General features: G+C 42.5%; 1 long non-coding RNA gene across 1 annotated transcript in view; it reads right to left on the minus strand.

Annotated features, from left to right (window-relative positions):
* Nucleotides 1–1,206: 1,206 nt before the first annotated feature.
* The window catches only part of PRORY (PRORY Y-linked lncRNA), a 69,942-nt gene continuing 58,411 nt past the window's right edge, over nucleotides 1,207–12,737 (minus strand). Inside the window, exons 2-5 of the long non-coding RNA NR_170372.1 lie at nucleotides 5,534–5,658; nucleotides 3,215–3,271; nucleotides 2,734–3,098; nucleotides 1,207–2,582 (exon numbers count right to left, since the gene is read on the minus strand). This is a non-coding gene — a long non-coding RNA (PRORY Y-linked lncRNA). The remainder of the gene's footprint in view (nucleotides 2,583–2,733; nucleotides 3,099–3,214; nucleotides 3,272–5,533; nucleotides 5,659–12,737) is intronic.

Here is a 12,737-nt window from a genome sequence, read left to right on the forward strand (position 1 = left end):
ACTCTTGTCAAATTTCCCACGTGTAAAATTGAGGATTAATTCAAAGATTACACAACCCATACATATGAGTATCTCATTTAAATTTATATGCACAAGTGCAAACTTGCAGTGTGTAAATATTTGTCTACATCTAAATGTATCCAAATCCATTGATCAACAGTTAGAAATTTAGAAATTATTCTCCCATTTTACCATTCCCTTTCCTAGAATTTTGTCAGAAATATAATTTTTCCATCTGTTTGAATCCTACTTTCTGGAAGCATGTAATGTATGGATATAGTAAAGCCATGAGAAATCCCAGAGTTTGTATCAGAGAAAACATTAACACTGGTTTTATAAAAGATCCATTTTGAGGAGAAATTTATACTTCACATGACTACAAATACAGAAGTATTAATTCATCGAAAGCTAATATCACTCAATACAATTTGTTTTTAATGTTTTATTTAAAATATGTAATCTCAAACGATTACTCGAGTAGAATAATGTTGTTGGTAATAAACAATTATTAAGAATTTCCTTTAATTTGTTGATTATTTAAAATGTAAGTAAAATACTAAAAAGTAGTAGTACTAAAAAGCAGCCATGTAGTTTCTCTATGGTTTTTTTTTAAATTAATAGTATCAATGGAATTCTTTTACACAGAGAAATCTCCTTATATCATTTTATTATTATACTTTTACTTTATTACTTGCTTGCATGTCGCAACTGATAGAAATAAAAATATTTTTATTTATACATATATAAAGCATGGATTTTTGTTTATGTTTTCTAGTGAGAGAAAGTCACCAATAATTTTATCTATATAGGAAAATTTTGACAAGCCCAAAATTCTTAACTTTCTTTTCTTTTGAAGGTTCTTATTTCAGTCTAGGTATGAGATGGAATTGACTGTGATCACTTTTTTATTTCACTATGACTACGGAGTTTCTGATACAGTGCTACAAATGTATAGACTTAAAAACTTGCTTTCTTCTTCTTCTTCCTTTGGACCTGAATCATGTGATTTCTGCAGTAATGTGCACTGTTATCTGAAATGAGGTTGCTGAAAGATACAAGCATAAATGGAATTTTTTACTTCCGTGAACCTTTAGGAACAACAAGTGAAGCTGTAAGATAATCATGATATGAACTTAAATCCACAGTTTCTCACAGAAGCACATAAGGGTGAAAATGCATTTAAAAATACATGCCACATCCAAAACATGAGGTAGGAAAATGAAAAGTTTATTTTGACATAAAGAACAGTTTAAAAGCTATGATTATTTCTGGTGAGAGCAACTAGCACTAAAAATCCTATTTTCTCTGTTTTAATACATGAAACTATTAATGTATCTTCATGCTCTAAAAAGAGTTAGCTCTAACTTAAGCAACAACTTTACAGCCATTTCAAACACTGGGTGCATCATCTTAGAATTTCTCCAAGAATCTTTTGGGAGAAATATAATGTAATCTTGCTCTATAAACAATTGAATTAATCAATGAAATTATTATGACTGTAGTCTTGCAATTTCATTGTCCTTCTCTTTTCGGTTTTTACATATTCTGATTAAAATTCAAAAGCCCCTAGGAAGCATATGATAAATAACAATGACCGAAACAGCTGAAAAATCAAAAATGAGCAGCAGACACATTTCAAGGTTTCCTTTATGAGAATGCTACATTGACCATATGACATACACATGATATCAATCCCTGTGAGAAAATAATATTTGGGTAGCACTTGACAGTTCATCCAGTAACAGCAAATATTCTCATTTGACCTTCAAAAGGAATTTTAAACTTGTGTTTCATAAGTGACGAAAATGTGATTTAGTAACAGAAATCAGAGCTGTTACATCTCTTTAAGAACATGTCAACCAGTAAAGCAGAGGCATGAGTTTTCTTCTGGAGTGAAGAAGGCAATGTTTATTAAAATCATGAGTCTTTTTTTAATGTTTCATCTTTTATTAATGTTTTGCTTATCAAAATCGTTGCCCTTATTTGCAGTTATATTGCCTGTATTTGCCTATTACAGCAGTTATCACACTTACTATTCCTCATTTATCTCTGTACCTGTTTCTACTGCACACTCAAAATAGCAAGGAAACAGTGTTTTTCTGAGCTTCTTGCAGACTGCCAGGCTTATTGTGGCATTTAGAAACTATCTGCTGAATGTTTGTGACATTTTCATTTAAGTTACATTCTAGGCCACTTGATTCTCATTTTCTATTTAGTATTTGGGTTTGGAGAGCTATTTTTAATTTTAAGGTTTTTTTTTTCTTTTTTTTTTTTTTTGTTTTATTATCCTGTAAGTTCTAGGGTACATGTACACAACGTGCAGGTTTGTAACATAGGGATACATGTTCCATGTTTGTTTGCTGCCCCTATCAACTCGTCATTTACATTAGGTATTTCTCCAAATGCTATCCCTCCCTCAACCCCCCACCCCCGCGACCGGCCTCGGTGGGTGATGTTCCCTGCCCTGTGTCCATGTGTTCTCATTGTTCAACTCTCACTTATCAGTGAGAACATGCGGTGTTTGGTTTTCTGTCCTTGTGATAGTTTGCTTAGTATGATGGTTTCCAGCTTCATCCATGACCCTGCAACCGCAATGAGATACCATCTCATGCCAGTTAGAATGGCGATCATTAAAAAGTGAGGGAATAACAGATGTTGGAGAGGATGTGGAGAAATGGGAACGCTTTTAAGTTTTTTTTTGTTTTTTTAAGTATATTTTAAGGATATACTTACACAGACGTGGAGCGGACAGTGTACCCCGTTCAAATTGGAGGCTCTGCTGGAGAGGACAGCCAGGGCACAGAGCGTGGAGGCGCCCTAGGGGGAGGAGAAGGTGCTGCTGTGGACGATATCGTGGCAGTGGTCCAGGTGGTGGTCGAGGAGAAGTCCGATATGGAGAGGCAGGAGGAGGATCAGCGGGCACGGCCATGCCCTGGCCCCAGCACTCCCCAGCCAGTAACAGACTCGTTGGAACTCCGTGAATGCCCCAGGCCGCATGGCCTGCCAGCGGCTGAGGTAGAAGCTTTGGCAGAGGTTCCTGCCCGGCCTCCGGAGAGAGCAATGAGGACAGGTTGTGCGGCTCCGATCCCAGGCAGCATCTAGGGGTGAATGTTTACAGCTCCTGAATCCCCAGCGGCCATGTGTTATACGATGTTAATTTAGTTTATCCATCTGTAGGCGGCTTGTGTTAGCTCAATAAGACACTCTGCCTTACCGCAAAAACAGAAGGCTTTCTGGATCCCGGGGTTTCCTGCCTTGGCTCACACGTGGGCTTGGAGAATAAGTGCAAGGTTTCATTGAGTGGAAGTTGTCAGCAGATGGATGGTGAGCCAGAAGGGAGATGGAATGGGAACATATGCACACCCGTGCCTGTGTGCCTTTGTGTACCTTGGTTTGGGGGGGCCCACACTCCAGCCCACAGATGTGCCTCAAACTCAGCTCTTGCGCTGGCAAGCAGGGCACCACCAGGTTTGGCAATCCAAATTCAGGACCCCTGAAGCCTACACGCTAGGGAGACGCGAAGAGTCCTCATGGTTCTCACAAATGGCAGAGGGAGGAGGAAAAGGGTGGCTGGCTCAAGCTACCTAGAGGAGATGCCATGGACCAGAAATGATATTTGGAGGGAAACAAAACCTAGCTGGTGCACGTGGGTCCCTTCCACGCCTTGAGGCCTGTTAACACCTGGGGCTCAGTTAGGCTCAACTAAGGCCCTCTTACCCTCCACGCAGAGGTGCACAGGAGGCAAACCCAGGTCTACGTCCTTCTAGAGTGGCCAGTCCTATCATGTTCTGTTTCAATGACTCCAGGGTCCCCTGACATGCTTTCTCCCTCTGCCACCCTCACTCATGCTTCCCCAGCACTGAGACATTTCCTATGACATTAAAAAACAGACATAAAATTTGTAAAATACCTTAATACTATAGATGCAGATAAAGTAATTTGTTATGAAAAGTGCTCTTCCTCCTTACTTGTATCAGTCTTTTTCATGATGGGGGAAAGAATGCAACATACTTTGGTAAATTAAAAAAGTATAAAAGTAAAAATAAATCCCACTGTAGATGATCAATTAAATGGCAAGGAACCTTCTGTGTGTGTCCAGCGAAGCAATGTGGCTGAGCATTAAGGCTCACCTGAGTATTGGTGTAGACACCCAGTTTCCCTCATACCAGTGTGAGTGTGGGCATGTTCCCACCTGCGTGTCTGAGCTGGTGCACGAGTGTGCACACCTGTGCCTGTGTACCTTTGTGTACCTTGGTTTGTTGGGGGACACACTCCTGCCCACAGGTGTGCCTCAAACTCAGCTCTTGAGCTGGGAAACAGGGAGCCGCCAGGTTTCGCAATCCAACTTCAGGACCTGAGAAGCCTGCGCGCTAGGGAGACGCAGAGTCCTCATGGTTCTCCAAACGGCAGAGGGAGGAGGAAAAGGGTGGCTGGCGTAAGCTACATAGAGGAGATGTCATGGACCTGAAATGACATTCGGAGGGAAATGAAACCTAGCAGCTGTTTCTATCTTCCTGTGTGTTCAGTCGGGGCATTCAGGGAAGAAGCAATGGAAACTGAGGGGCTTTGGGATTCGTTGTCTGGGAATCCCTGTGCACCAGAGAGTGCCCAGCCCATGAGACAGGAGGACAGCATGTGGGTCCGGCAGGGCCTGAGTCTCCAGGGAGGCTGGCATTCTCCCCAAGAGGGCATGGGTCGGCAGGTGGAGGAGAAACCCGGGCTGCGGGGTCAGGTAGATGAGACACTTATCACTTAGTCAGGTGGTAGCTCAGAAACAGGCCGGTGACACCCAGTTCCAGTGCTTCATGTGCGCACACAAGCTTCGCCCCACGCATCCTCTCCAGGATGCCTCACCTGGGTGGATAGGAAGCAAGGCACACCGCATCCTAAGCTTATGGTCATGAGTGGACCCAGAGGGGGGTCTCCAGTATCACTGGTCCCAGGAGAGGCAGGCATGCATGGTCTCTTCAAGACAGGGGTAAAATGCATAAGCCCAACTCTCCACCCAGTGGGTGTCTTGCCCTGATGATGTCAGCCATGGCAGATACAGCTCTTCCACCTAGATTGCAGATCCACAGGCTTAAAACATCCCCCGGCATTCTCCGGGAATGGTCCCTGGACTCTGGACCAGCCAGTGCCCCAGGACTGTTCCTTCCCAGCCGCCAAGCTCATGGGAGGCTCAGTGGGGACTCTCCTCCTAGTACATGGCCATCCACAGGCACTGTCAACAACCCAGGGCCCTTCTACATTCTGGGGTCCTGCCACCTTACCCAGCAGCGGGATAATGGGAAGGGAAAGAGCTGGAACAGACAGAGTGGAGGCCACAAGCCTCACACTCCTGCATGGCAAGTGAAGGGGGGGGATCCTTTTCAGCCCAGGGAGCTGCTTCCTGAACATACCTGGAAGCCCAGCACAAGCTGAGGGATTCATTCCACTACAGCTGGGCATGGGGGATTTCAATGTGTGTCGGAGCCCTGGATCCTAGTCGCCCTACCAGGTGTACTTCTCCTCCAGGTCACATTATGTTCACAACCTCTTTAACCCAGATGGACTCCTCCTCATCATCACATGGTGTTGGCTGTAAGGGTTACTTCTGGTGCCCCAGCTGCTGTTTCAAGGTGCAGAGATGGACCAGCAGACCCCTGAGTCCTTGTCCTCCTGTCCAAGTAATATCCATAGAAATAGTAAAATAGTGGCACGTTAGACCTCTTGACATTTTTAAGGCTGACATGTTTACAAGCATTTCATCCAGATATTTATGAGTTTTTATCTCATTTATTTTATTTATTTATAGCTGTCATTTCAAAATCTATTTTTGCTTGAGAGTTATTTATACATGTAACCAAATGTTCAGAGCTATGACATATAGGTTTCAAGGTTAAAAGTCTGTATCTGCTATTGTGTTGGGTAAAACCCATCCAGCACTTACAAAAATAATTATTGATTAGGCATGGCCACTGTAGTGGTCTAAAACACACTTTGAAATTCTTCTCAAACTCATTTGAAAATATTCCTGATGTAACTGAACATAGTACTTGCTTCTAATGCTTTCTAATAGAAAACAGGGCAAGCATTTTCTAGATACTGGGCCACCTCTGGCGTAGGCTAGAAAAGGTGACACAGCTGTGCCTAAGTCTCCTGCTTTCATGGGGACAAACCCCTTAGGAGAGCCCTGGACCAGTACATCACGAAGTCTAACACCCTGATAACACTATACAGAAGGGACATGCCATGGAAAGACTCATAGAAATAGGAGATGCCCAAGGATCTCAGCATTCCAGCCCCAGCTATTTGAGTCATGCTAGCCATGGAACCAGGGAGACAGGAAGACAACTGACAATGTCCCCATCCTGAGCCATCACTAGACTGCATCCTCCTGAGTGCCCCTGAACCACAATCATTTGGCTGAGAGACTACGGAAGATTGCAGAGACTGAGAGTTAGTAAATTATAATGATTGTTTTAAGCCATTACATTTTAGATAATTTTGAAAAGCTCTTTAGACTCCTAGAAAAACTGAGTTGTCTACTGATTTGAATAATTGTGGAGAGCTTTAAAGGCCAATGTCACGAATGCTAATACCCTGGAAAAGTCAAACTATCAAGACTCTTCAAAACACAACAGATCTTTAATGTCCCTTTGCTATGGCTGGAGAATAATCTAACATGTATCTGATAGACCTTTTGGAAAGCCTCTGTTCACATCTCTCGGCCTGGTATGGGTCAACTCTGGTCTGGTTTAATTCTAGGCAACTGCAGCAGCTCACCTTTCATTTTAGGTCGTGGCCTACACTGATTTTTTGATCACTGACTGTGTCTGTGTCTGTGCGTGTATGTTTTGTGTGTTACCATACTTTATCCGAAAGACCTAAATAATAGTGTTATAGTTTTTTTGTGAACATAAAGCATTCCAGGAAGACAATATTGCTTATCTACTGAGCTTTAAAACAGATATGAGGCAGGGCACAGAGGCTCACAGGTGCATTCCCAGCAGTTTGGCAGGCCAAGGTGGGCAGATTTCTTGATGTCAGGAGTTTGAGACGAGCCTGGACAACATGGCAAGATCTCATGTCTAATATCATATGAAAGCTAGCCAGCCTTGGTGGCCCATGCATATTATCCCAAACCCTGGGGACAGAGTTTGCCCTGTATTAAGATTATGCCACTGTGCTCCAGCCTGGGCACCAGAGTGAGACTCTGTCTCAGAAATAAAAACAAATAATAAAATACTAAAATAGATAGGAGAGATCACTGAAGAGAGAAATGAATAAAACTGGGTGGGTATTGTGGCTTATGCCTGAAATCCCAGCACTTTGAGAGTCTGAGGTGGGTGGATCACTTGAAGACAGGAGTTCGAGACCAGCCTGAGCAAATATTGTGAAAACTGGTCTCTACTAAAAATACAAAAAAGAAAAAATAGGTAGGATTAGTGTCATATGCCTGCAGTTGCAGCTGCTCAGGAGGGTGTGACTGGACAATTGCTTGAACCCAGGATGGGGAGGTTGTAGTGAGCTGAGATCATGCCACTGCACACCAGCCTAGGCAACAGAGCAGAATTCTGTCTTCAAAAAAAATCAAAGAGAGAAAAAGAGAGAGGGAGGAAGGAAGGAAGGAAGAATGGAAGGAAGGAAGGTTGGAGGGAGGGAGGGAATAAGGAAGGGAGAGAAGAGAGAATGAAAGGTATAAAACCAACAGGAAATGAATAAAAATAAAAACTTGCCATTTTGCCCATTATCCACATGAATTTTTGAACTATGTTTAAAACAATATTTAGGTCTCTAGTCGACTAACTGAAAGTTTAAAATAAGCTAGTGTATATTGTCAAAATTACTCATGTAACTATGGTATTAACTAACATTCTTGTAGTTTTCAACAACCAAATCATTTTAATGTTTATCATCAAATCACATACTAGTGAGTGCAGGGTAGTCTGTTATGCTGCCTAATCTACACTAAATTAAAAATGAAATCAAATCTGCAAAAGGCTTTACAGTTACTATTACCAGTAAAGACTGTTTTGTTTCCTGACTTGTGGAGGTTTTTATTTCCACAGTGTTGAGGGCTCTGGCAGAAAGCTTTCTTGGTCCAAACTCACCACTTATCATCACAGTATTTATGTGTCAGGCATTAAGGGGAATGAGCATCCAATCCCACTGCTTTTCTGCATTGGTTCCCATGCACAAGCAAATGTGCTGTGTTAGTGATTATCAAATATTCTTACATTTGATCAAGGAAATTTGTGTTTTCCAAACTGTAAAACAAAAATATTACTATCAGTTGTATTTTTATTATTTATTTACTTAGAGGCAGGGTGTTGCTCTGTCATCAGGCTGAATCATACCTCACTGTAGTGCCAGACTTTTGGGCTCAGAGGATCCTCCAACAGCAGCCTCCCAAAGTACTGAAATTACAGACCTAAGACATTGCACTCAGCCTCAAGTTTAGAGAGAAAGGCTAAGGAATATATTGTAAACTATGTAAATAAACATAATTGCATGCTCTCTAGAGAGCTGGAAGAAACCCCTGCAAAACTGCCATTGTGGACAAGGCTGCTGACAACAATGTAATGCAAGCAAAGGAGTGGGTCCTTCCCCACTGAGCCTTCAGATGATACCAGAGGCCAGCTTGGCATTTCCACTGCAGCTTTTTGAGAGAACATGAAACATAGGTGTCTGCGTTTGCGTGTGTGTGTGTGTGTGTGTGTGTGTGTAAGCATACATACAGAACCTGTTGAACAAACTAGGATCACCCACACAATGGAATATGATGTAGCTTTTTGTAGATCTGGTAGAATTCATCCGAATCTATCAGTTTCTGGGCTTTTTTTTTTTGGCTGGTTGGTCACTTATTACTAATAATTCCATTTTGGAAATTGAAATTGGTCAGGTTGGAGCTGAGACTGTGTCCACTTACATTCTCTTGTGGAACACAGAATGGCATGCTTGTAATTTTGGCTGTGATGGTTACTGGAAGGTCTCTGCACAGATAGGCTAGCTTTCTGCCAGCAGCAAGAGGGCCTAGGACTGACAATCAGCTCCCTTGATATCTGCTGTTGAACAGTGGGAAGAGCTAGAGCTGAGACTGGGATTCTCTGTTTCTGAATAAAGTCATGTGCTCTAGAGATTCTAACGCCCCAGTGATTTCCATTAGATATATCAGAAGTGATCTTCCTTCCAGGGGTACTAAGGCTTATTATATAAACTACTTGCCCACTGCATCCAGGTAGGGCCAGAAACTTCATCCTTCACTACTAAATTGCCTCTGCTTTTCAGCCTGGGGATGGGTGGAGCACACAGGGCTAGGATGGTCAAAAGTATGGCAGCTGAGATTGGGTGGGGACACATGCCCCTTCTGTGGATAATCACCAAGCTGCCTCTTTGTCACAGCCTTGGAATTTTGCAGAGAAAATCACTGTGGGATTTGGCAGTTAGTCAGTGATTTGAGCCTGGCAGACCCATCAACCATGGTTTGTTGCTGCAGAATAATGCTGTTGCTTCCCTTCTCTGACGGTGCACCTCTGCTGGCTGGAATGCAAAGCCACTGGTAAGATTACTGTTATGATCCCTGTAAGCCCCATCCATGTACTTTGTTTCTAACTGACCCCAGTTGTCTGATACCCGCAATGTTTCCCACAGGGTAAGACTAGAGAGAACATCACGTGAAGAATTGCAAAATGGAAAAGAAAAGGCTGAATGTACACCTTCAACTCTCTCCTCCCTGAAGAAACTGTGAGTCCGGGGAAATTTTTTGTACGCAACACTATGCTGGCTTGGGGGGGAGAAAAGTATCACATTAAAACTGTTATTTTATCCTATTTGTGTGGCTATTCTTAGTTCTACAGTCGAAGAAGGTGTCACAGATTCAATCGCAAGTTATGGAATCATTCACTAAGGTGTCCTTACCTAAGGATAGTTGTGAGTTAAGGTTTTTGTTTCTCAGAGAGGGAGGGAGTTAGTAGAATCGCAGAATGCCTGTTGTGTCACATCAGACCCCAGAAACAGGCAAGTTGAAAGACTGCTCCAGGCTGAGCACAGTGGCTCACACATGTAACCCCAGAACTTTGGGAAGCTGAGGTGAGCATATCACGAGGTCAGGAGGTGAAGACCATCCTGCCCAACCAGGTGAAATCCCCTGTCTACTAAACATACACACACACAAAAAAAAATAGCCAGGCCTGGTGGCATGTGCCTGTAGTACCAGCTACTTGGAATGTTGAGGCAGGAGTATCTCTTGAACCCAGGAGATAGAGGTCAAAGTGAGCTGACATCACGCCACTGCACTCCAACCTGGGTAACAAAGTGAGACTCAATTTCAAAAAAAAAAATAGCGATCCTAAGGGAGGAGGAGTTTAAAAGGTTGGGGTGCTTCCATGGAGAAGCTGAAAGCTAGAGCAAGCCAAGGGTTGGATTTAAGGAAGAGCTCACGGGACCATTGAAAACCACCTCTTTGTCCTCTATGGAATGAAGGAAATAGTGAATTCTGAGCTCCACTGCTTACTGATATAGGCAAGTTATCAACCAGAGATACATGTCTTAATCTGTTTGTGTTCCTAAAAAAGACTGTGAGACTGGGAAATTTATAAAGAAAAGAGCTTTCATTGGATCCTGGTTCTGCAGGCTGTAAAAGATGTGTGGTGCCAGCATCTGCATCTGGTGAGAGCCTCACCAGGCTTCCACTCAGGATGGAACATAAAAGGAAAACAGTCACGTCATGTGTGGAGAGAAGAGAAGGGGAGAGAGAGAAGAGGAGAAGGTATAAGGCTCTTTTCAACAAACTATTTGGATGTAATCTAGACTGTGGCAATAATACGGTGGAAAACTCACTTATTAACCATTGCAAGGCAGCCAGGCTATTTATGAGGGATCCATCCCCATGACCCAAACAAACACCTCCCACTAGGTGTCATTTACAGTGTGGAGGACCATATTTCAACCTGAGACTTGGAGGAAAAAATGTCCAAACTACATCAATAGGCAAGTTTAAAAATCATGCAGAGTTATTGTAAAACAATCCTTTTTCCTCTTTAGAATCCTGGAACTACAAAATGCTGGGATTCATTAGCTTCCAGAGATTGGTAAGTTAGTGTGCAAACTCTTAGGCAGCAACCTGAGAAGTCAAGGCCATAGTTGAGTAGTTCGACTTCTTGGAAGGAAAATTTAGAAGCTCAGTATATTGCTAGAGTGAGTGATTATGAAGACTGATGAGAAATGCCTATGTGCCTGCTCTCAGAGGACCTTGACAGATCCAAAAGTCAAAATTAGAAACAAGATACCTGGGCAAAAGCTATAAAAGTCAAGATAAGGCTGGGTGCAGGCTCATGCCTGTAATCCCAGCACTTTGGCAGGATGAGGAAGGTGGATGAGCTGAGGTCAGGAGTTTGAGACCAGCCTGACCAACATTGTGAAAACTTGTCTCTACTAAGAAATACAAAAGTTAGCCTGGCATGGTCACAGGTGCCTCAGGAGGCTGAGACAGGGGAATATCCGTTACTCAGGAGGCTGAGACAGGGGAACCACTTGAGCCTGGGAGGCAGAGTTTTCAGTGAGCCGAGATCATGCTATTGCACTCCAGCCTGTGCAGCAGAGCAAGACTCCATCTCAAAAGAAAAAAGAAGAAAAAAAGTCAAGACGTTAGATGTACAATCTAAGATTTTCGAGGAACAAGGTGGGAGCTGAGCTTTCTTGACTGCTTAAGATTCAGTAAACCAGGAGGAAACAGTTTTAGAAGTGCTTGAATGTCTACTTAAATCCTTCTTTTATCTTGGAGGTCCTAGGAGAGCTTTGAATGCCAATCTGTGCTAGAATCCAGGGATAGGCAATCATTTCGTTAAGAAGCAGCTGTAACAGTTGGGGCATTACATATGTGGTTTAATACTTCAGTCCTCTTAGAGAAGCTGTGAAATAACAGTTCTCTATTGACTCTAGGGTCATGTGTCAGCCACAAATTCTAGAACAAGATCATGATTCAGTTTTTCTTACTTCTTTTTAAGTGAGTATTTTCATAATCCTATGTGCAAGAGTATCTCAACTAGTTTCTGAGTTTATCTCATAGGGAATTGATGTGGGTGTGGCTTTTTATTTGTTGCGTTTGTGGATGGAGGAACAAATTAGAGCCTCCTATTTTATCACCTTGTTGGAGATACCCTTTTAATTTTTTACTTATTTAAAAAAATTTGTACATAACAGTTGTAAATACTTTTGGCATACATGTGATATTTTGATACAAGTAATGTGAACTGGTAAGCGAGGGATCAAAGAGGGGATGGGGGTGGGTTAAATTATACTTGCTTAGAAGGAATAATATCTAGTGTTCAGTGGCACAGGATGACTACACTTAATAATGATTTATTGTACATCTCAAAATAATTAATAGAGCGAAGGTGGAATGTCTCCCAGGTTAAAGTGCATGGCACAATATCGGCTCAATGCAGCCTCAGCCTTCCAGGTTTAAACGATTCTCCTGCCTGAGCCTCCCAATTAATTGTAACACACTACAGGCAAATGCCACCACACTGGGCTAATTTTTATATTTTTGCTAGAGAAGGGATTTCATGGTGTTGGCCAGCCTGGTTTTCAACTCCTGACCTAAAGGTATCTGCAAGCCTCAGCTTCCCAAGTGTTGGAATTAAAGACCTGAGTCATCACACCTGGACAGTAAGATACACAAGACTAGGGAGTTGTATCTTTTCACTTCATCCTCACAATCCTATGTTATAGGTGAATGAAAACACAAATTCATA

The sequence above is a fragment of the Homo sapiens genome, chromosome Y (genome assembly GCF_000001405.40).
Source record: "Homo sapiens chromosome Y, GRCh38.p14 Primary Assembly".
Classification (NCBI taxonomy): domain Eukaryota; kingdom Metazoa; phylum Chordata; class Mammalia; order Primates; family Hominidae; genus Homo; species Homo sapiens.